Source organism: Homo sapiens, chromosome 10 (genome assembly GCF_000001405.40).
Source record: "Homo sapiens chromosome 10, GRCh38.p14 Primary Assembly".
NCBI classification, from domain to species: Eukaryota; Metazoa; Chordata; class Mammalia; order Primates; family Hominidae; genus Homo; species Homo sapiens.
Genome location: NC_000010.11, coordinates 16325697 through 16351566, shown reverse-complemented (window position 1 = coordinate 16351566; position 25870 = coordinate 16325697). Strand labels below are relative to the sequence as shown.

General features: G+C 41.2%; 1 annotated feature.

Annotated features, from left to right (window-relative positions):
- Nucleotides 2145-2667: an enhancer, noted in NCBI's record as "OCT4-NANOG hESC enhancer chr10:16390899-16391421 (GRCh37/hg19 assembly coordinates)". NCBI's record gives its function as "activates a minimal SCP1, AML or CMV promoter by ChIP-STARR-seq in primed H9 embryonic stem cells {active_cell/tissue: H9 hESC(primed)}" and the evidence as "EXISTENCE:reporter gene assay evidence [ECO:0000049][PMID:30033119]".

The following is a 25870-nucleotide window of genomic DNA, read 5'->3' as shown; positions in this document are numbered from 1 at the left end:
CCATGATTAGACTCAAATTATAAATCTTGGTCAGGGGCTGGGCGTGGTATCTCATGCCTGTAATCCCAGCACTTTGGGAGGCTGAGGCAGGCATATCATGAGGTCGGGAGTTCAAGAACAGCCTGGCCAACATGGTGAAACCCCATGTCTACTAAAAATACAAAAATTAGCCGGGCGTGGTAGCACATGCCTATAATCCCAGCTACTCAGGAGGCTGAGGCAGGAGAATTGCTTGAACCCGGGGAGGTGGAGGTTGCAGTGAGGCAAGATCATGCCACTGCACTCCAGCCTGGGTAACGGAGTGAGACTCTGTCTCGGTGGCAGGTGGAGGGGTGCGGGGTGGAAATCTTGGTCAGGAATGTCCCAGAAATGGTGTGTGCTCTCAGTTGACACATGATCTCATTTTCTTCCATTGCTGATAGTGTGCATTCTTTTCCCACTTGCAATTAGCAAGGATTTTGCAGGGTTAATTACTGTAATTAATAGTTTTAAAACTATCTTAATATCCCAATAATCAAGCTTTCATCAATTTATCTGTATGGACTTGTGATTTCCTATTTTATTCAATGGGTTATTGATTCTTAAAATTATTATAATACTCAAATTGTCCCATATTTGGCCAGTGGGAACCCCTTCAAGCTAGCTTCTATGTCCCTTTAAGTTGTCATTCTTTTAGTGCTTCTGTGATCTCTAGTACAAGAAAAATGTTCATTTCTTTTTTTTAACTGTTTGTTGAAGTTCTTTTTTTTTTTCTTTCTTTCTTTCTTTTCTGAGACAGGGTCTGGCTCTATCGCCCAGGCTACTATGCAGTGGCGTGATGTCATCTCACTGCAGCCTCTGCCTCCCAGGCTCAGGACATTCTCCCACCTCAGCCTCCCCAGTAGCTGGGACTACAGGCACATGCCACCACCTCCAGCTAATTTTTGTATTTTTTATACAGATGAGGTCTCACAGTGTTGCTCAGGCTGGTCTTGAACTCCTGGGCTCAAGTGATCCACTTGCCTAGGCCTCCCAAAGTACTGGGATTATAGGCATGAGTTACCATGCCTGGCCTCCAGATTCATTTTACCCATTCCTTGCACCAACCCTGGACTCAGCCATTTCTCCAAGGAGCCCCCCATTCCTTATAGTGAAATATAGTACTTAGCACTTAGAACCCATGATCTGGGTACTAGGAGTGCTCATTACTACTGGGGTGTCACTGTTCCTAGTTGCCTCAGTGGACAGAGTCAGGGGATGTATGTATTTGTATAAACACACACATAGGTACCTTGTTTATTTCCATTACCATATATATTAAAAACCAAGAGCCCATACTAATTACTTCTAACACCACGGGCTTTATTATCATTTTCTCCCTTTCATGTTTTTTACTCTTTTCTGTAACCATGAGAAACTTGGCTCCCATTATCTTTAATATATTTCACTGTTTGTAACCACTTTTCCATCTGCATTTCCACCTGCTCCCTTCATAAATACCCTCCTTACCCAACTTGGGCTTAATTCCACTTTCTGGGCTGCTCTCCCTCCCACCCCTCTCCCACACACAGATGCTCTCCTCATCCAGCTTGGGCTCTAATTCCCTGCACCAGACCACTCCTCTATAGAGATTCTGTCTGCAGATTCCCTCTGCAGAACTTCAGCCTCTGCTTCCTCATACTGGGCCACCCATGTGGTGGTTGCCACCTGCTTGGACGCAATGCCAAGGCAACCCTCCACAAAGCAGCCTTCCTGGTTCTACTTCGCCTCTGGCAGCCCAGGTTGGGCAGACTTCCAATCAGCATGCATACTGTCTTCAACCTACTTGGGCTATGATACCTGTCTGGGTCACCAAGAGTCCATCCCCCTATTCTTTTTTTTTTTTTTTTTTTTTTTTTTTGAGATGGAATCTTGCTCTGTTGCCCAGGCTGGAGTCCAGTGGTGCAATCTCAGCTCACTGCAACCTCCACCTCCCGGGTTCAAGCTATTCCCCTGCCTCGGCCTCCTGAGTAGCTGGGACTACAGGTGCGTGCCACCACACCTGGCTAATTTTTATATTTTTAGTAGAGACGAGATTTCACCATGTTGGTCAGGCTGGTCTCGAACTCCTGACCTCAGGTGATTTGCCTACCTCGGCCTCCCAAAGTGCTAAGATTATAGGCATGAGCCACCGCGCCTGGCCCATCCCCCTGTCCTGCTGGTAGCAATGCCTACCTTGCTTTGTGTTACCTAATGGCTTATGGACTGAATTTTTCAAGATGAGGAGGGAAGAGGGAGAGGCATCAGAATGGTCCTTTAAAAACCCACATCAAATCAAAACTGTTATAGTAATTTACATTGCTATGAGGCACCTCATTCCTCTGTATCTTCCTGAAACGGTTCCCTTCTTCATTCAGAGCAAAAGCCGAAGTCCTCATGATAACATGCGTAACCCCCCTGACTGTTGCCTTTTATCTTACTAATGTCCTCCTGCCCCTCTACTCTCCACATGCTTTGCTTTCAGACACCTGGCTTCGTTCCTGTTCCTCAAGTATGTAAGGTAGACTCCTAACTCAGAGTCCTTTGCTGTAGGTGTTTTTTCTGCATCAAACATTCTTCTCCCAGATTCTCTTTCAAATACCTATGCAAATCTTTTTTTCTTAGTGAGACCTAACCTGATGTGTTTGTTTGGTAGGGCTTCCATAATAAAATACTGCAGACAGGATGGCTTCAACAACAGAAATTTATGTTCTCACAGTTCTGGAGGCTGCAAGTTCAAGATCAAGGTGCCAGTGGGGTTGGTTTCTCCTGAGGCCTCTCTCCTTGGCTTGCAGTTGGCTGCCTGCTTGCTGTGTTCCCACACAGCCTTTCCTCTGTGTGAGCATCCTTGGTGTCTCTGGTCTAATCTCCTCCTATTGTAAGGAAACCAGCCAGATCAGACTAGGGCCCATCCTAATGGCATTATTTTAACTTACCTTTTTTAAAGGACCTGTCTAAATACAGTCACACCAGGAGCTAACTACAGCTTCAAATCATGAATTCTATTGTGTCCCCTCTAAGGGGACACAATTCTGCCCATAACAGCTGGCCACCTAATGTAATGTTGAAATTTACATAAAGCTGGCACTTGTAATTCCTGTTACCTTGCATTGTATTTTTATTTCTATAGCTCTGATCAACTTCTACCATAGTATATAATTTGATCAATATATATGTATTTTTATGGTCTGTTTACCTCTACTGGAATATAAGTTCTACAGAGGCTTACAACAGTGCTTAGTATATAGTAAGCATGCCATGCATAGTGTTGAATGAATGAATGTAATTAACATATCCACTTGCTGTTGATGAGCATTTGGGTTATTTCCATTTAGTGCTATTATCAACAATGTGCTGTGAGTATTATTTAAAATGTATCCAGGAATACATATGCACAGGTTCCTATGTAGTTTATCTGTATTAGTCTGTTTCACACTGCTGATAAAGACATACCTGAGACTGCACAATTTACAAAAGAAAGAGTTTTAATGGCCTTACAGTTCCACGTGGCTGGGGAGGCCTCACAATCATGGTGTATGGTAAAAGGCACGTCTCACCTGGAGGCAGACAAGAGAAGAGAGCTTGTGCAGGGAAACTCCCATTTTTAAAACCATCAGATCTCGTGAGACATATTCACTATCATGAGAACAGCATGGGAGAGGCCTGCACTCATGATTCAGTAACCTCCCACCAGGTTCCTCCCATGATATGTGGGAACTGTGGGAGTTACAATTCATGATGAGATTTGGGTGGGGACACAGCCAAACCATATCAATATCCAAGAAGAGAAATTGCTGGGTCACAGGACATGTATATTATATTAGTTTTTTAGAATTACCTTAATAAAGTACCACAAACTATGTGACTTAAAGCAACCAGAACTTTATTTTTTTTCACATTCTGGAGGTTACAAGTCTGTAGTTAAGGTGTCAGCAAGGTCATGATCCCTTTGAAGGCTCTAGAGAGGAATCCTTCCTTGACTCTTCCAGCTTCTGGCACTCCTTGGCTTGTGGCAGTGTCACTCCAATCTCGGCCTCTGTCTTCATGTGACCTTCTTTTTCTCCATGTGCCTGTGTCTCTACATCTGTGTCTCCAAACTTCATTTATTTACTCTTTTATAAGGATATCAGTCACTGAATTAGGGCCCATTCAAATCCAGTGTGATGTCTTTTTAACTTAATTACATCTGCAAAGACCCTATTTCCAAATAAGTTTATATTCACTGATACCCACAGTTAGGACTTGAACATTACTTTTTGGGGGAAATAAATTAAGCCACAACCATGTGTTTATCTACCATAGTAGATAATGCTAAAATATTTTCTAATGGTTGTGCCAGTGAACACTGCTACCAATGATCCTATTCCTCCATACCCTTGCCAACACTTATTGTTATCAGACGTTATAAGTTTAGATCATGTGGTTATTTTGATAGTATCTCATTTATGGTTTAATTCTAGAATTAGGTTGTCAAGTTTCACAAAATAACTGTTGTATTTTGATTTTGATTACATTATAAACCAGTTTGGTAACAATTAATATCTTTATATACTGTCTCCCAATTCATGAACATAGTATATTATGCCATTTATTTAGTCTTCTTTAATGTTGCTCAATAAAGTTGTATAATTTCTCCATTAAAAATAATTTAGGTCCAGATACTTCTTTCTCTAGTTTAGGTTCAGGCATTGCAGGCAGGTCTGCCCTGCAATGCAGCTAAAGTATTACCTGGAACTAACCTGCAGTTAACCTGGAGTGCAGCCACAGAAAATTAAACTACGTGGCATGCCATTATCAGACAGAGGGGAAGGTCTGAGGTTTAGGGTTCTTGTGCCTTTCCATAGCCACTCTCATTTTTATCCTGGTTCAAATGCTGATAAGCCATGGCTTGTGACTGGCCTACATAGTAGGGAGAAGGGGCTGGGAAGCACAGGTGAGGGGCAGGCAGGTCACTTGGCAAGTGGATTGAAAATTTGTAGCTGGAGCAAGTCAGAAACAAGGCCAAGTGGACTGGAGTGTCTTCCCAGGTTCTAAATAGGCTCAGAGAGATCACATAGCACACTAGATGCAGAGTTCAGCTGCAGATTTTAGCTGAGCAAGCAACCTGTAGGTGGACAGAGGACATTGGCTCTGAGATGAGTGGACGCAGGCCATTGCCTACCTGAGGACTGACATGAAGCCCTTCCCTCCCTTCCCAACACATAGGGCACTCTCCTCCCTCCACATACCTGAACATCAGCTTAGGAAGAACAGCAGAAGACAGGGAAAGTATCTGAGAGATTCAGTGTCTTCATCCTGGAGATACTAAGCAATAGATGTAAGAGCTGTTTAGATTATTAAATAGGCCTACTTTTAAACCAGATTAGACATTTAGTTTATTTCTTCCCTGGTAACCTGTGGGTGCGGGAAAAAGTCTAAATTAAAGACCAAATTTAGCAAGACATCATCTTTGCATATATGAGTTATAAGCTCAAAAATTGGAGCCCCACTACTAAATCTTCCTACCACTCTGCCTCTTTTGCCACTGGCTTTTTCTGCAGATTGAAGAATTCATTAAATGGGTTTATTCTGTTGCTCTAGCTGAGTATATGGAGAGGCTCCCTCTTCTTAATGAACGGTGCATCAAATGCAAGCATTCAGTGCTCTTCATAACACTGCCCTAGGCAGTGCTCATAAGCGCAGTCCCCACTACCTTGCAACAGGACCCTCGCTCTGTATCTAGTCAGACTCCACTCCTTCTGCACCAGTGTCCCAGAATATTCCATGTTTTTTCTTCCCAAGTCTATGGCCATAATGTTTTCCTTGCTTAGTATTCTCTCCTACTGAAACACTCTGGCTTCATTTGCAGCCAATTTTAAAACCAGGGCTGGGCATGGTGGCTGACACCTGTAATCTTAGCACTTTGGGAGGCTAAGGCAGGAGGGTCTCTTGAGGCTAGGAGTTCGAGACCAGCCTGGGCAACATAGCAAGATCCTATTTAAATAAAACAAACAGGAGGAAAAAAAAAAGTAAAAATCAAAAGGGACTTTCCAATAATTATAATTTGTTCTAAAGTCTTAGCCACTTTAGAACAGGGCTATTGTTTTCCAGTATACATGAACTTTATCTTCTCTTTTTTTGAAAACCATCTTAAACCATTTTCTAATTCCCTAAAACAGCATAGGAGTATGTAGAGGATAGAAATTCAGTATGTAGCTAAAAGTGAACTAGACTCTTAGAGCAGTAGAAAAGATGGGGAAAAAAGGAGGCTTGGCTGGGCGTGGTGGCTCATGTCCATAATCTCAGCACTTTGGGAGGCCAAGGCAGGAGAATCCTTTGAAGTCAGGAGTCTAGGAACAGCCTGGGTAACATAGTGAGACCCTGTCTCTCACAAACAAAACTTCAGAATTAGTCACCATGCTGGTAGACACCCGTAGTCCCAGCTACTTGGGAAGCTGAGGCAGGAGGATTGCTTAAACCCGGGAGTTTGAGGCTGCAGTGAGCTGTGATTGCACCACCACTCTCCAGCCTGGGCCACAGAGTGAGACTCTGTTTCTAAAAAATAAAGTTAGAAAAATTAAACAAAAGGTATATTCTACTTATTAGGTGTAATTTTAATTTTTTCATTGTTGCTGACTTTAACTTGTAATGAGCGGCATAGAATTGTTTCCACGCTCGCAGGAACATCTGTATTTCCATGTGCCCAAGTAATGACAAGATTGTCCTTGACTTACCTTCATTATCCAAATAAAGTATTTGGATCATTTATACCTGTGTCCCTTAGCCAAGGGGAGATGTTAATATTATTATTTATTGAGTGTTCACAACACTCTAATGAGGTGTTAGTCACCTTTCTTACAGATGAAGAAAACTGGTATTGATTCGTTATTTGTCGAAACTCATACAACAAGTGAGGAGGAATAAACATTTGAACATAGGTTGTTTAACTCCGAAGCCTTAGGCTACAAAGTGACTATATAATAAACTGACATTGAGAACTTAAAAAACTCAGACAGAGGTTGGGCGCAGTGGCTCATGCCTGTAATCCCAGCACTTTGGGAGGCCGAGGCGGGTGGATCACCTGAGGTCAGGAGATCGAGACCAGCCTGGCCAACATGGTGAAACCCTGTCTCTACTAAAAATACAAAAATTAGCTGGGCATGGTGGCAGAGGCCTGTAATTCCAGATACTCAGGAGGCTGAATTTCTTGAATCTGAGAGGCAGAGGTTGCAGTGAGCAGAGATCGCACCATTGCACTCTAGCCTGGGCAACAGGAGGGAAACTCTTTCTCCAAAAAAGAAAACCAAACAAAAAAACTCAAAGACAAGAGTGCTAGTGATTGCTAGAAACTAAAAGAGGGTTCAGGGGAGAAGTGGGTCAGCTGAGCAAAAGTTCAGCTTCGTTTGCTGTGCTCTTTGGTCCTGTAGTTTCACTGGGTATGAAGGTTCTTGTGTGAGTTTTGAAGGCACAGAGTACTCTGCTGAGAAACTTTTTCTTAAGACGATTTTAAGTTTTTCCAGACTCCCTTTTATTCTTATGAAATAAATGGAAATAGGAGGCCAAGTGCAGTCTCTGGTGTCCAAATCCCAGCACTTTGGGAGGCGAAGACAGAAAGATGCCTTGAGCCAAGGAGTTCAAGATTAGCCTGGGCAATGTAGCAAGACCTCATTCTACAAAAATTTAAAAGCATTAGCTGAGCATGATGGTGTTTGCCTGTAGTCCCAGCTCCTGGGGAGGATGGGATGGGAGGATTGCTTGAGCCCAGGAGTTTGAGGCTGCAGTGAGTGATGATTGAGCCACTGCACTCCAGCCTGGGTGACAGTGAGACACTGTCTCTGGAAAAAAAAAAAAAAGAGAAAAAAGAAACAAGTAGAAATAGTCTTATTCGTATTTGAGGGCTAATAAGCCTGAGTTAGAAAGGCATCCAGTGATATTGTGATATGCCATTTCATGATGAACAGTTAAGTGAGAAAATAAGAATAAAATCTAGATGTGACTCTCCACTGTCCTACATCCAGGAAACTCCTGCTCTCCCCATGCTAAAGCTAAAGATTCGCAACAGGGTCTTTCTTCAAGCTAATATGATATTGTGATTTATTTGTATACTCATAAAGTTAAACATTAAAAAAATAGGCCGGGCGCGGTGGCTCACGCCTGTAATCCCAGCACTTTGGGAGGCCGAGGCGGGCGGATCACGAGGTCAGGAGATCGAGACCATCCTGGCTAAAACGGTGAAACCCCGTCTCTACTAAAAATACAAAAAATTAGCCGGGCGTAGTGGCGGGCGCCTGTAGTCCCAGCTACTTGGGAGGCTGAGGCAGGAGAATGGCGTGAACCCGGGAGGTGGAGCTTGCAGTGAGCCGAGATCCCGCCACTGCACTCCAGCCTGGGCGACAGAGCGAGACTCCGTCTCAAAAAAAAAAAATAAATAAAAAATAAAAAAATAAAAAAAAAATAAAAGTAGTGAATATTTATGAAGTAACTAAGCAATTTTGGCCAATGTGGGTGCATTCAGAAAGACGTCAATAAAAGAAATCATTCATGGCAGTAAATGAATCTCCATGACTCAAGAGAGTGGTAGAAACAAAATTAGATGACGGTTTCGTTGTGTTAGGATTCACGTTACTTTTTCTGCTTGTTAGATATACGAGGTTCAAGACTGTGAAAAATGTGAAGCAAATGATTTGCTGCTAAAGTGGTAGGGGCTTGAATTTTTTTTAAGAGGAGCCTAGGGTTTCCCTCTTCTCTGTGCAACTCTAGGGACTCCATGGAACCAACCCATTCAATCTTAAACATCCATGCAACTGGGGCCTCTTGGATCCCCAAAGCCACAAATGAGGCAAGAGTGGGTATGGGACTGCCTGCTTCCAGGAAAATCAGCTCACCTGGGGAGGAGGCAAGACTCAGTAATTCCAAACTCCTTAGGACCCCACAGGAGTCTAGAGGTCTTTAGTGGCAACCCAAAAGACTTAAGGAACTAATTATTTGTATTAAATGAGTATTTAGCTTATGTGTGTTCATTTAAATATGTACATATTAACATATAATGTTCTGATGTTCATATTAAGTGCTACAAATGTAGCATGCTACATGAATACCTAGTACTATTTTTTTAAAAAAACAATAAAAATGCTTCCCCAAATGCTCATGAAGCTTTTTGATTCCCTCCATTCAAAAGCAGACTGTAGGCCCATTAAAAAATGTGGCAGTACTAGGCAAACTCAAGATGCAATTTTGGAAAATTGGAATGAAATTTGCAGTCTTTTTTTTTTTTTTTTTTTTTTTTTGAGACAGTCTCTCACTGTCTCTCTTACTAAAGTGCAGTGGTGTAATCATGGCTTATTGCAGCCTCGACCTCCTGGGCTCAAGCATTCCACTAGCCACAGCCTCCCAAGTAGTTGGGATTACAGGCATGTGCCACCACACGTGGCTAATTTTTAATTTTCTGTAGTGATGGGGATCTCATTATGTTGTCCAGGCTGGTCTCAAACTTCTGGGCTCAAGCAGTCCTCTCACCTTGGTCTCCCAAAGTGCTGGGATTACAGGCATGAGCCATCATGCCTGGCCATAAATTTGCAGTCTTTGAGAAACAAAAAGTGTAATTGTCTTCTCACCAACTTATGCCAGATGGAGAGTGAAGGAGACACAAACCAACTCATTGATTCGTTCAACATGTATGTACTAAGCCCCTGTGCTGCTCCAGATGCTGAAGTGACAGAGGTGGGGCAGATGCTGCATTCCTGTTCCCACAGGGTTTATGGTCTAGTAGAGCAAGCACTACGGCAGACCAAATAACCAATTAGAAAAAGTGGCTGACTCATTTAAGCAACACTTATGAAGCAGGCATTGTGGTTAAACCTGGAATAGAGAACTGGGAGTTCTTAAGCTGCAAATTTATAATTCAGTTATCCCACCTGCATTTCATAGGCAAGAGAAAATGTTCCCAGCTCATCCTACCTATTGCACAGACACCTCTATTTTATGAAAAGGATTATATAATTTTGAGGAAGGTTTTTTTTTCATGTGGTTGTATTAGATGTTTGGTAATATGGTTTGGCTGTGTCCTCAACCAAATCTCATCTTGAATTGCAGCTCCCACAATTCCCCCGTGTTGTGGGAGGGACCTGGTGGGAGATAATTGAATCATGGAGGCTGTTTTTCCCGTACGTACTGTTCTTGTGGTAGTAAGTCTCACGAGATCTGACGGTTTTATCAGGGGTTTCCCCTTTCACTTGACTCTCATTCTCTCTTGCCCACCGCCATGTAAGATGTCCCTTTGCTCTTCCTTCATCTTCCACCGTGATTGTGAGGCCTTTCTAGCCATGTGGAACTGTGGGTCCTTTAAACCCCTTTTCTTTATAAATTACTCAGTCTTGGGTATGTCTTTATCAGCAGTAAGAGAACTAATACATTTGGGCGAAACTCAAGGCCAGTGTTCATTTTGCTATGTTTTGATTTTGGTACCTTGGCAAGACGAGGAATTTTTGGGGGGATTATCCTTCTGAATATTTCTTTCCGGTTAGGCATACCACGTACACCGTCCTTTCATAATCATCGTACTCTCCTGTTTTTACTTTGAAGTTAACATAGGTTAAGTTTTCCTTACTTAGTTATGAACTAACTTACCATATATCCCATTACTTATAATGGCATTATGTTATACATTTATGCCTTTACAATATCCTTTCAAATACAATTTAAATTTGATAGTATAAATATTTTTGGCATAGGGAAAAGCATTTTTAACAGGTGGGTGGCATTTAATCTATTTTATTGAGATAGCATGGGCCCAGAAAGCTTGCTGGAATTTACAAATATGATTAGATGTACGTTTCACTTTGTAAACCAGGAGAATGACTAATTAGAGCCACGACTTAAAGCCATAAGGAGTAGTTAGTGATTCAGATCATGGAAAGACTGGAATGATCAAAAGCAAACATCCTTCTCCCTCCTCATCCAGAGTTCAGGGGGTTAAGTGCTATTTGTCTCTTAAGGATTTCTTGGCTTTAACTCCATCTTTGTAATGAAGAAGACAATTAACATCTCTCTTCATTCCCTGTTAGGATGTAATATGTTAATTAGCAAAATCACTCAATTAACAGCACTTGGTAAAACATACCACTGGTTTCTCACCTTTCCCGGTCTATTTGAACACATAAACAAATGTCACATTGAAGAAAATGTCTAAAACCCCTAGAATGCATATTTATTCGTGTTTCTACTGCACTAAGAATAGGTGTCCTGGTATTTTAAACAAGGACTGGTACAGCATGCAGATACTGGCATGATCTATTTACTATTTTTATTTTATTTAATTATATAACATAATTGTAAGCTTGTACTCATAACTATGCATACCTAGAAATGTCCTCTCTTTTTATGTATTCCTGAGGCTTAGAAGGGCTACGTAACTGCCTAAGTACACCACAGCTGTAGTTAGTAGTAGAGCACAACTTTTAACTTAGAGTAGAGTGTTTTTAGAGTCTGAGTTGTTTTTTTTTTTTAAACCTACTCGAAGGACTCCTAGGAATGCATAAATGTTACAGAATGATCAGAGTTGTGGTTAAATATTTATGTACCATGTTGATGTTACTCATTTACCGTTATTTAAAATAGAGAAAAATTGGAAAGAGCATTAATGTCCAACAGTTGAAAAAATGGTTAAATAATTTATGGTAGAAGAGAATATGATTCTACCATTACAAATTATGCTTTCAAAACATGGAGCCATTTGAAGACACTTATACCATAATGCAAAGCAGAGAAGTAGAATTAGGTGACAAGGCAATAGGTACAGTATGAGTATATATTTTTAAAGAAAATACACACATACACATACATAAAAATATATAGGAAAATAACAAAATTGGAAGTAAATAGACCAACAGGTGATCAGATACTATGTCTTGATTTGGGGTAATGAGTGATTTTAATACTCTTCTGTAAACGTATCTGCATTTTTCTTCTTTTTTGTGTAAATTTAACGTGGACAACATGATTTTATATGTACAGTGAAATGATTACTATAGCTAAGAAATTTAACATATCCATCATCTTACATAGTCATTTCTTGTGTGTGTGTATGTGGTAAGAGCACCTAACATCTGCTCTCTTACTAGGTTTTCAGTAAATACAGTATTATTAACTGTGGTTCTCCTTTCTCCTGCTGCACGTTCGTTCTCTAGACTTATTTATACCCTTTGACTCACATCTTTGCCTTACCTCCTCCTCCACACCCTAATAACTGCCACTCTACTCTCTCTATGTGTTTGACATTTTTTTGAGTCCACATATAGGCCATACGCAGTGGCTCATGCCTGTAATTCCAGCACATTGGGAGGCCAAGGTGGGCAGATCACCTGAGGTCAGGAGTTCGACACCAGCCTGATCAACATGGTGAATCCCTATCTCTACTAAAAATACAAAAATTAACTGGGCATGGTGGCATATGCCTGTAGTCCCAGCTACTCGGGAGGCTGAACAGGAGAATCCCTTGAGCCCAGAAGGCGGAGGTTGCAGTGAGCGGAGATTGCGCCATTGCACTCCAGCCTGAGTGACAGAGGGAGACTCTGTCTCAAAAAAAAAAAAAAAAAAAAAAAAAAAGGAAAAAAAAGCAAGAGTCCACATATAAATAAGATCATGTAGTATTTATCTTTCTGTGCCTGGCTTGTGTCACTTAGCATAATGTTCTCCAGATTCATCTGTGTTGTTACAAATGGCAGACTTTCTGTCTAAGACTGAATTACATTATTCCTTACATATATTATATAATATATATTCCTATATATAATGTGTGTATATATATATACACATAAATATATATATGACATTTTCTTTTCTTTTCTTTTTTTTTTTAGATAGAGCCTTGCTTTGTTCTCTAGGCTGGAGCATGCTGGCGTGATCACGGCTCACTGCAGACTCAAGCAACCCTCCAACCTCAGTCTTCTGAGTAGTTGGGACCACAGGTATGTGCCATCATGTCTGGCTAATTTTTTTTTTTTCTCCTTGTAGAGACAGGGTTTCACTGTGTTTCCCTGGGCTGGCCTCAAAATCCTCAGCTCAAGTGTTCCTCCCACCTCAGCCTCCCAAAGTTCTGGGATTACAGGTGTGAACTACCACACCTGGCCTAAACATTTTCTTTATCTGTTCATCTCCTGCTGGTTAGGTTGTTTGCATATCTTGGCTTTTGAAAATAATACTGAAATGATTATGGGAGTGCATGTATCTCTCTGAGATACTGATGTAATTTTCTTTGGATATAAGCTCAGTGGTGGGTTGGCTGGATCATATGGTAATGTACAGGGGTTCCCTTTCCTCCACACCTTGTTATCTATCAACTTTTTGATCATAGCCGTTCAAACAGGTGTGAGGTAATTTTCATTGTGGTTTTGAGTTGCATTGCTCTGATGCTTAGTAATATTGATCATTTTTCTTGTACTTGTTGGCCATTTGTATGTCTTCTTTTGAGATATGTCTGGTCAGTTCTTTGGCCCGTTTATTTTCTTGTTACTGAGTTTTTGAGTTCCTTATTTAATTTGGATATTAGCTCCTTATTAGATGTATCACTTGCAAATATTTTCTCTCATTCAGTTAGTTGTCTCTTCACTTTGTTGATTGTTTCCTTTGCTGTGTAGAAGCTTTTCAGTTTGATGTAATCCCACTGGTCTACTTTGATTTGGTTACTTGTGCTTTTGGGAGTCACATCCAAAAACTCATTGCCCAGACTAATGTCATGGAGCTTCTCCCCTGTATTTTCTTCAACTATTTTTACAGTTTCAGGTCTTACACTTAAGTCTTTTATGCATTTTGAGTTAATTTTTGTTTATGGTGTGAGATATAGGTCTAATTTCATTCTTCTGCACGTGGATATCCAGCTGTCCCAACACCATTTATTGAAGAGACTTTTCTTTCACTATTATGTATTCTTGGCACCCTTGTCAAAAATTAGTTGACCATATATGCGTGGGTTTATTTCTGTGCTTTTTATTCTCTTCCATTGGACTATATGTCTGTTTTCACATCAGTATGATATTGTTTTGATTACTAAAGCTTCGTAATATACTTGGAAATCAGGGAACGTGATGCCTCCAGTTTTGTTCTTCTCAAAATTGCTTTGGCTATTTGGTGTCTTTTGTGGTTCCAAATTTTAGAATTGTTTTCTGTATCTATGAAAAATGCAATTGGAATTTTCATAGGGATTGCATTAAATCCGTAGATTGCTTTAGGTAGTATGGACATCCAATTTCACATCTTAAGAGACTAGAACAGCAAGAGCAAACTAAGCTCAAAGTTGGCAGAAGGAAGGAAATAATGAAGATCAGAGCAGAAATAAATGAAATAGAGATTAGAAAGATAATATAAAAGATTAATTAAGAGTTTTTTGAAAAAATCAACAAAATTGACAAACCTTTATTTAGACTAACCAGGAAAAAAAGATGAATCAAATGAATTATGAATGAAAGAGGAGACATTACAACTGATACCACAGAAAAACAGATACATGAGAGACTACGATAAACAATAATGACAACAAATTGGATAACCAAGAAGAAACAGGCCCAGGAGTGGTGGCTGATGCCTCTAATCCCAGCACTTTAGAGACCTGAGGTGGGAGGCTTACTTGAGGCCAAGAGTTTGAGACCAGCCTGGACAACATAGCAAGACACTGTCTCTACAAAAATAATAATAAAAAGGTTAGCCAGCCATGGTGGTATGTGTCTGTTGCCTGAGAGGCTGAGGGAGGAGGATCATTTGAGCCCAGGAGTTCGAGGCTGCAGTGAGCTATGATAGTGCCATTGCACTCCAACCTGGGTAACAGAGTGAGACCCTGACTCAGAAAAAAAGAAAAAAACCTAAGAAGGAAGGGACAAATTTCTAGAAATCCGCAAAACCAAATCACAAAGAAACAAAGTCTAAACAAACCAATAATGAATAAGGAGATTGAATCAATAGTCAGAAAACTTCCCAACGAAGAAAAGTGCAGGACCAGATAACTTCATAAATAAAATCTTACAAACATCTAAAGAATTAATACCAATTATCTCAGACTCTTCCAGAAACTTCAACAGGAGGGAATGCTTTCATATATGCATGGTTTCATTTCTGGTGGTGTACATGTCTACATGTATGTTGGTCACCCCACACCAAGACCAGATAAGGAAACTGCAAGAAAATTAAAGGCCAGTATCCCTGATGAACACGCATGCAAAAACCCTCAACAATATACCTGCAAACCAAATTGAACAGCACATCACCAAGATCATATGTCATGATCAATTGGAATTTATCCCTGGGATGCAAGAATGGTTCAATATATGCAAATCAATAAATGTGATACACCACATTAACAGAATGAAGAATAAAAATCATATAATTATCTCAGTAAATGCAGAAAAAATTGGAAAGAATGTAACTTTTTTTTTTCTTTTTTTTGAGACGGGGTCTTGCTGTGTCGCCCAGGCTGGAGTGCAGTGGCGCTATCTCGGCTCACTGCAAGCTCTGCCTCCTGGGTTCACGCCATTCTACGTCAGCCTCCTGAGTAGCTGGGACTACAGGTGCCCACCACCGTGCCCGGCTAATTTTTTTTGTATTTTTAGTAGAGACGGGGTTTCACTGTGGTCTCGATCTCCTGACCTCGTGATCCACCCGACTCGGCCTCCCAAAGTGCTGGGATTACAGGCGTGAGCCACCGTGCCCAGCCGAATTTAACATTCTTTCATGATAAAATTGGAAAGAATTTAACATCCTTTCATGGTAAGAACAGCCAACAAATTAAATCTAGAAGAAATGTTACCTCAACAATATAAAGGCCACATATGAAAAGCTCAGAGCTTATATCGTACTCCTAGGTCATTCTTGATGACAATATCCTGCCACAATTTTCTTGCAAGACTTACCACTACCTACTATTTTATTTGTTTGCTGTCTGTCTTCCGGCAGTAGAACAGGGGCATTTCTTATCTTGTTCACTGCTTTATGGCTAGTACCAATGAAAATGATTAACACAGAGCAGTTGCTCAAAAAACATTTGTTGAATGAATAATTAAATTCGAGGGCAAACAATATGCTCTCTGGGGGTAGAGGCCATGGGAGAATCATCTCTTCATGATTTATAATACCTATGATATTATTTTCAATATTTGTTGAATGAGAGAAAGTTCTTCAAATTTAGCCTGTGCTGCTATGATTTCATGTAAGCTCACTTCAAATGAATTGCTCTGTTTTCAGAAGAAAGTACAGTAGAACCTTTGTCTTTATGAATTTAATGTCTGTGATTGTCTCTCTTTAAAGGTTATCTGGAAGTTCATGACATGAAATATTTTTCAATTTTTTCTAAGTTTTTTTTTTTTTCTTGAGATGGAGTCTGTGTCACCCAGGATGGAGTGCAGTGGCGCAATCCTGGCACATGGCAACCTCTGCCTCTGGGGTTCAAGCGATTCTCATGCCTCAGCCTCCTGAGTTGCTGGGATTACAGGTGTCTACCACCGTGTGTGGCTAATTTTTATATTTTTAGTAGAGACGGGATTTTGCCATGTTGGCCAGGCTGGTCTCAAACTCTTGACCTCACGTGATCCACCTGCCTCAGCCTCCCAAAGTGCTGAGATGACAGGCATGAGCCACTGCACCTGGTCAATTTTTGCTGAGATTAATTTGAATCCTAAATGCTAGTGAACAGGACTGAATCCCTTTGAGACAAATGTAGCCAAAAGCCAATGTGCAACCCAGGATGTGTGCATTTGGAAGTGGGCTGGGGTTCAATTTATGACCTCGTGTGTGCATGAAATTTTTTTATTCTGCCAGAAAATGTTGCCTGAACTGACAACAGCTTCAAGAGCTGATGAAGTAAAGGAAGGAGACTAAAAAAGAAGTACTAGTTCTTAGCCGGAAAATAGACCTTTTTGGTTAGAGTGAAATGTTATATTTATGGGTGACTAGAATCTATGATATCAAGCCAGACATATGTTCTTTATGAGAATGTTAAAAAGCAGAATTTATAAAACAAATTGAGTAAGCATCTCAGGTAGGACAGAAACTGATCATTGAGTGAGAGTTAAATCATTTACATATAATTTTTCAGCTATATGCAACTGCATTGCATGGGGAAAATGACATGTGGTTTATGAATTTGGGGATTTTCCAGGGTTTTAGGAAGTCTCTGATAAGTTAAACAATCTATTCTTTAATGAGCTAACAGGGGGTTGGTATCTTCAAAAACAATAGATGGAGATTAACCTATAAAAAATTAATTAGAATATAAACACTGGCAGAATTTAAAGACAGAAAACTCTCTGTTCCCGTGGTTGAAGGATCCATTTCTTTGCTGTTTCCCGAAAAACTCCTTTCATGTTTCCTTCTCATCACTGTGTTCTGTTGATCCTTGCTCCTCAATTCTCCTGCCAGCCATTTTCCCTGGAAATGTTCTACCATTAACAAGTGTCTGACTGTTTAATGTTCTCTCTGAAAGTTCAGAAAATGACATAGACAATGTCTAATTATTAGCTTGCACAGTATGACCAGCGTCAACATTGTTACATTTTGCATAATTTTATGGACAGAATCTGTTTTACTTAAATATCATCAGACTAATTTACTCTGGATCAATGGGCAGGCTGATAACAATTATAAGATGATTGTGCAGACATAGCCTATTATAGGGGCATATCCATTTCATCCTAAGTGATCAAAAAAGAAGTGGCATAATGTTTTGATGTATTAACTGGTGCGTTTTATTACACTATTTTTTGAGATGGGGTCTCACTCTGTTGCCCAGGCTAGAGTGCAATGGCATGATCACAGCTCAGTGCAGCCTCAACCTTCTGGGCTCAAGTGATCTTCCCACCTCAGTATCCTGAGTAGTTGGGACCACAGGTAATGTGCTACCACACTTGGCTAATATATTTTTATGTTTTGTAGAAATGGGGTCTCCCTACATTGCCCGAGCTGATCTTGAACTTCTGTGCTCAAGTGATCTTCCTGCCTTGGCCTCTGGAAATGCTGGGATTACAAGGTGTGAGCCACCGCACCCGGCCACCTGGTGTGTTTTACATTGTTGTTGTTCCCTTGCATTTCTTGCCTTTATCCTCATTCGGTCAGTGGTATGCTGCCAATTCATACGTCCCAGTATTATCCCGTAATATTTGGAAAAGTTGGTATCAACTAAGAGTGCAGGAGTACAAGTCTTAACTTTGGAGTTTGAAAAGCTGAAACCCCAGGAATAAAATTTCTTAATTTAGAAGAATATACAGCTAGGCAATTTTTCTTATTCCTGGAAATAGACAAAGATTTCTTGGATTGAGGGATGGAAGATGATATCAATAGTTGAGGAGGAACAGGAGAGTTGAACGATGTGTCTTTGAGAACGGGATCATTACTTTATCTCCATGCCAGACTGAAAAACCCTGGACTGGGGATGAAATCAGATAAAAAAAAATTCTGGTAATTTTGGGAAATGTGAAAACAGAGAAATTTTGCCCTGTGCTCCCTGGATAGAACCCAAGAAAGCAGCAAAATCTCAGGTTGCTTGCCCTGTGGGGATTGTATTTAATCATTCACACACTGATTTGTCTGTTCAACAGGTATTTTCTTTTTCATTGATTGATGGATTGATTGAGAAAGGGTGTCTGTACTCCAGCTCTGTCACCCAGGATAGAGTGCAATAGTGTGATCATAGCTCACTGCAACCTCAAACTTCTGGGCTCAAACAATCCTCCCACCTCAGTCTCCCAAGTAGCTAGGACTACAGGCATGTGCCACCATGCCTGGCCACTTTTTAAAAAATTCTTTTGTAGGGGCAGGGTATTGCTATATTGCCCAGGCTGGTCTTGAACTCTAGGTTCAAGCGATCCTCCTGCCTTGGCCTCTTTAGAGATATTTTCTGCCTACTAAGTGGTAGTCACTGTGCTTAGCACTGGAGACAGCCATGTATGGAACCATGGCCTAGGAACAAAAAATCAGTAGCACCTAATCATTCTCAACAGATCTCTTTGTCTACAGTTGGCCCTGTCAAGCTGACGGTAACTCCATTCCCTCCAGTGTCCAGGACAAAACCTTGGTATCTTCAACTCATCTTTCTCCAATCCTGTAAGAAATTCTGATGGCTCTACTTCAAATATACCCGGAATCTAAACACTTTTCCCTACCTCCACTGCTACTGAAATAGCTTCTAACTGGTTTCCTTTCTTCAACCCTCTTTCCTTAGTGTGGTCTTAACATCATGACTAGAGCAGTCCTTTTAAAATCTGTCAAATTGGGCTAGGCACAGTGACTTCCTCTTGTAATCCAAGCTATTTGGGAGACTCAGGCAGGAGGATTCCTAGAGGCCAGGAGTTCGAGGCCAGCCTGGGCAACATAGCAACACCCCATCTCTACAAAAAGTTTTTTAAAATACTAGCTGGACATGGTGGCACACACCTATAGTTCCAGCTATTCAAGAGGCTGAGGTGGGAGGTTCACTTGAGCCCAGGAGGTCAAGGATGTAGTGAGCTATGAATGTGCCACTGCACTCCAGCCTGGGCTATAGAGTGAGACCCTGACTCAAATAAATCATAAATAAATAAATGATCAATACATCAAAATATGTCACTTCTTCGGTAATTGTCCATTTCTCTCACAGTAAAAACCCAAGCCAGTCTTCCCCTCTCGGTTGCCTTCCTGAATGGATCCCTTGATTTTATCACCCTTGCTCACTCCACTCTGCCATGTTGGCCTTCCTGTTGTTCTTTGGACACGGCTACTCTTGCCTTCGGGCCTTTGCACCTGTCATTCCTTCTGCCTGGAACGCCCTTCCTCCAACTACTAACCTGACTGTTCTTCACCTCTTCCAAGTCTTTGCTCTGATATCACCCTCCCGATGGACTCCATCTTGACAAGTCTATTTAGAATTTCAAGGAGCCACCCAACCCTGAATTCCTAAGTCCTCTTCATCCCGCTCTACTTTATTCCACAGCACTTCCCAATTTCTTATATACTACATAATTTCTTACTTATCGTTTTGCCTGTTATTTGCTGTTGATTTCCTCATCCGAGAATGCATGTTCTTGAGGTCAGAGATTTTTCTCTGTTTTGTTCACTGTAGTTTCCAAGAGTCTAGAACAGTGCCTGGAACACAGTAGGTTCTTGGGAGATATTTGCTGCTATAGATCGTTGAAAGAATTGTTTTATAGAAAGGTGCAGGAAGCCCTACATTGATTGTTCAAGCACTAAAAAGTAGCATTATAATAGTGGAAGGTCTTAGCTTTGTAGAGTTTCCTGTCCTTGGAGAGGCGTGAAAGAGGGCTCAGAACTGGTCAAGAAAGAGCTCAACCTGAGAGATTGAGGGGTGAGAATGGGGCATCATGGCAGTGAACAATATGGATGGGTGATTAGGACCCAAGGAATGAGAGTGATTGGGGAAACTGAGTGGAGGGCAGGGTGGACATTTGTTTACCAGCAACCAGACCACTCACAGCATGTTAGCCCTCTGTAAGCCCTCTGTTATGAAGATGTAGCTTTGGGTACAGGCTGATTAATATTTCTTCTTCTGATGTGTCTTAGTCCATTTGCACTGATGTTAAGGAATACCTGAGACTGGGTAATTCATACAGAAAAGAGGTTTATTTGACTCACAGTTCTGCAGGCTGTGCAAAAAGCATGGAACCCATATCTGCTTCTGGTGAAAGCTTTAAGGTACTTCTGTTCATGGTGGAAGCAAAGAGAAGTTGGCATGTCACATGGTGAGGGAGAGAAGAGGGGCCAGGCTCTTTTTAACAGTTAAATCTTGCAGGAGCTAATACAGCAAGAACTCACTTATTACCATGAGGACACACCAAGCCATTCATGAGGGATCCACAGCCATGACCCAGACGCCTTCCGTTAGGCTCCACCTTTAACACTGGGGATCAGATTTCGGCATGAGATTTGGAGGAGGCAAATATCCAGACAATATCAACGTAGAATAGAGATAACAAGAAAAAGTTACTATGACACATAGAAAATGTTACATGGTTTTTGTACTTGAGTTGTAAGGACTGAGATTTTTGCTTCATACGAAAATAGCTTGGCCAGTCTCTGTGATTTCTCAGTAAACTTGAAGCCAGTGAACTCATGTCATAGCAGACACATGAAGTATGAATAAATGCAAGATGAATAGTGGAGTAGAGAGAAAAGATGACTTCCTTTTATCATTTTTGTGTGTATGGGCAAAAGTCAAGTTTTCATGTCATGCACTGTTTTAAAAGTCTTATTAAGATTTTCTGATTGTGGTAAAATTTCTCAACACCGAGAGGATATTTTATGTATCCCTATGTTCTGCCATTGCTTGTTCTAACAGGCATAGTATACGTAGCTGGCAGACAATCAAGTGGGAAATTCGTTTCCATTTATGCATTTAAGAAGCACCAAATACCTACCCCATGTGAAGAATCCTCTACAAATGAAATGCACACAAGCTGAATTGCCAGCAGCTTTATGGATGCATCTGTCTGTATTCCTCTGGGACACTGAGAATAACATATCCACAGTGGAACTCATCTTCAACCCCCACATACACTTGTTTGCTCCTTAACTTGGCTAAAGTCATCACTGTTCTTCTAGTTATCAAGCCAGAAACTCTGCAGTCCTCCTAGAATAGCGCTACTGAAAATGTGCTCTGAAATGAATGCTTGACCACAGATTACCATAACAAGATTAAGTACGGAAATTGAACATAAATGAAACTTTTAAAGCAACTTGACATTTCAGCAATATCCAAGCACATGATCATTTTTCCCTTTACTTGACGGAAGTATTGGTCCACGATGGGTTAGAAATTCTAAAAATGGGACTCCACCAAGATGATTTGAAAAGCCCTATTCTAGGCCATTTCTTTTCCCTCGCTAAGAAGGCATACATCCTGAAATACCTCCCAAATATATATCAGATCACTTCCTTCTTTCCTTTAAGTTTAGGCTCTTCCTTTCTTCCTTTCTTTTTCCTTTGTTTTTCCTTTCCTTTCCTTTCTTTCCCTCCTTCCCTCCTTCCCACCCGGCTGCCTTTCTTTCTCCCTTCCCCTTCCCTTTCCCCTTCTCCTTTTTCCTTCCTTCCTTCCAACAGGGTCTCACTCTGTCACAGCCTGGAGTGCAGTGGTGTGATCACTGCTCACTGCAGCTTTGAATTTCTGGGCTGAAGTGATCCTCCCACCTCAGCCTCCCAAGTAGTTGGGACTATAGGTGCACACCAGCATGCCTGACTCCATATATATATATATATATTTTTTTTTTTTTTTTTTTTTTTTTTTTTTGGGATAGGGTCTTGCTTTGTCACCCAGGCTGGTCTCAAACTCCTGGGCTCAAGTGATCTTCCCATGTCAGCCTCCCAAAGTTCTGGGATTACAGATGTCAATCCCTGTGGCTGGCAGGCTCTCATTTTTTACCTGAGCTATGACAATGGCCAGCTAACTGTTTTTTCTTCCTCAAGGCTGTGCACTCCTCCTCCAAGCATACACCGTATTACCTCTAAAGTAGTATTTTAAGATGTAAATACCATCACATGACTGTTCTTTTAAAATTCTTCTGTGATTCTCTACTAGCTACAGAATGAAGTACATTTTCCTTTGGATGATTTCCAGTGCCCTCTGCTATGGTTTGATGTGGTTTATGTGACCCCATCAAGTCTCATGTTAAAATTTGATTTCCAGTATTGGTGGTGGGGCCCAGTGGGACGTGTTTAGGTCATGGGGATGGGTTCCTCATAAATGGCTTCGTGCCATTCTTGTGGGAGTGAGTGAGTTCTCACTTAGTTCCTGCAAAAGCTGCTATTTGAAAAGAGCCTAGGACCTCCTCTTCTTTGTGGCACTTTCTCTTTCACTGTGTCGTTTGCATACACCAGCTCCCTTTGGCCTTCCATCCTTAAGTGGAAGCTTCCTGAGGCTTTCATCAGAAGCAGATATTGGCGCCATGCTTCTTGTACAGCCTGCAGGACCATGAGCCAAATAAATCTCTTCTCTTTATAAATAACCTAGCCTCAGTTATTCCTTTAGAGCAATGCAAATGGACCAAGACACCTCCATAATCTGGCCCATTTCCGTTTTTTAGTTTTGTCTTCTGCTACTCTCTACCGTTTAGTCTATATACCATCCATATAAAACTTTTTGGGTTTACTAAACACACTTGGTTTTTTCAGACCTCTGCAACTTCAAACATTCTGTTCTATATAACCAAAATAACTGTCTGTATTTGCTCCTTGGAAAAATCTTTTTCTGTAAAACTTCACTCAACAGAATCCAGTTAGGATTGGGATAATGGGAAGCAGGACAAAGTTAGTTTATTGGTACATCTGGGTCAGAAGTGAAAAGGAGGGCAAGTGCCTCAGGGCGGGGCAGGAGAATGTCCAAAGCTTGGGGTGAGGGTGTCTGAGCCACACAGCAGCAGGAACACCTCTGGGTGAGTCCAGATTTCAGAGACAAGAACCATGTCAGATCTAACCAAGAATAAGTTGTGGTGGTGTTGAGCAGCAAACTCCAAGGTCAAGAAAAATGTCACAAAACGTTGCCTAGCTGTCACAGCTGGGGAGCACAGCAGGATACTGACCGAGGTACGATCTGAAGATGGAAATGCAGCCTCCACCTACACGTAAGTCTGCTAGATGCTTTGTTGGTGCTGCGGTTGATTTTTGCTTCTACACATGCAGAGCTTCTCACGCTGGGATGCTTTGTATCAAGAAATCTGATCTATTCTGCTCAGGTATCACTTCATTTCATCTTCTTGCTATAGTTTGCTTATGTGTATAAACTTTTAACCTATTCATATGCCTGTAAGCTTATTGGCTACTAACTCTCTGTATTGGGTTGCATTTATTTATTTACATATTTGCCACTCTGCTAGTCGGAGAGCTTCTGGAGTGGGAGCCTGCCCCTTGTTTATCTCCCTATCTTCATTGCGTAGCACTGTTTGTTGGTGTATAACTGGCATCTAAGCAGATGTTTGTTGAATGAATTATTAAGTGAATACACAAGTGCTAATTTGTGATATTCAAGGAGCTAGATGTAGAGCAATCTTTTGGCTGCCTTTTAGTACATTTTACAGTTGACTGTAAAATCTAGGGCAGAGTCTCACCCAGGCAGTGAGCAAGTTTCCAATGAGCTCTTTGGAGGGGAAATATCATCTACAACTAGTACACTTCACAGTATTGACTTGTTCAGGACAAAGACGCTCTGAGTTGATTCATATGAGAAACTGAATTGTCCAGGTTATGAATGAATCTAGTCAAGGGGTCAGCAATTTTTTTTTTTCTGTGAAGGTTCAGAGAGTAAATATTTTAGGCTTTGTAGGCTATACAGTCTCTGTTGCATCTACTCTAATTCTGAATTTGTAGTGTACAAAATGTCATAGCCAATGTATAAATAAATGAGTATAGCTGCATTCTAATAAAACTTTATCTACAAAACCAGGTAGTGGGCCAGATTTGGCCTGTGTGCTATAGTTTGTCCATTCCTGATCTAGTCAGTTCTTCCAGTATTTCATTACCAGAAGGGGTCTGAGTGTGGGAGAAAAGGATAGACAGTAATGGTTACTACATACACTGAGCTTGATACTTAACATTATGTCATTGATTTTTTGCTGCACTCGGTAAGATGTATAGTATTATTCCATTTGATAGTTGGAGAAAGTAAAGTTCAAAATATCTATGTGGCTTGATAAGATCACATAAACAGTAAGTGATAAACTCCCTTTTTATTTTATTTTTCTTTTTTGAGACAGGATTTTGCTCTGTCATCCAGGCTGGTGTGCAGTGGAGTAATCACAGCTCACTGCAGCCTTACCTCCTTGGCTCAAGCAATCCTCCTGCTTCAGCCTCCTGAGTAACTGGGACCACAGGTGTATGCCACCACAATTGGCTAATTTATTTTTATGTTTTGTAGAGACAGAGTCTCCCTACATTGCTCAGGCTGATCTCAAACTCCTGGGCTCAACTAATCCTACCACCTCAGCCTCCTGTGCTGGGATTACAGGCATGAGCAACTGCTCCTGGCTGGTAAACTCTTTTGATTTCAACCAAATCAAGCTGATTACAAAACTCATGTTTTCTTCATTAAAATACACTGTCTCCATTTCATTGTCAATTGACTCATTGTGAGAGAAACTGTGGCAAGTTTAAAGTTGTCTTTTGTCAATCAGGAGAGGTGTGGCTGTAATATGGTAATGACTCCAGTAATCTCAAGCACCTTAAGCACCCACGTGGACTGTGAAATACACACTGTTATGAAAGGGGTTTGGACCTTAGGGCCACACAGGTATTTTGTGTGTGTGTGATTCTGATGAGTTTCGTCCATTTCCACAGAAAGTGTAGGCTGAGAACAGATCGGGTTCTTGGTGATACTAGTTGTTCATCTCAGAGCAGCAGGGTCTCTGCTTCCTGTTGTCCTCACTCTGAGACTCAGGCTTGGGGACCTTCACCCCAGCTACAGGGGTATCCCTGCTACCTATGCCAGGGGAAAAGAACAGGGCAGACCATGTATATATCTTATAGGTGTTTCCCAAGAATTGGTGTACATTAGAGCCACTCACCTTCACTGGCTACAGTAAGTCAGATTTTTTAAAAATTTAACTTTAAAGTGGGCAGGTAGCTGGCCATGTACCCAGGATAAACATAACTATAAATATAAGCGAATTGGCTGGAGGCAGTGGCTCAAGCCTATAATCTCAGCACTTTGAGAGGCCAAGCTGGGTGGATCACCTGAGGTCAGGAGTTTGAGACCAGCCTGGCCAACATGGTGAAACCCTGTCTCTACTGAAAACCCAAAAAATTAGCCGGGTGTGATGGGTGCCTGTAATCCCAGCTACTTGGGAGGCTAAGGCAGGAGAATCACTTGAACCTGGGAGGCAGAGGTTGTGGTGAACCGAGATCGGTGCCACTGCACTCCAGCCTGGAAGATTGAGTG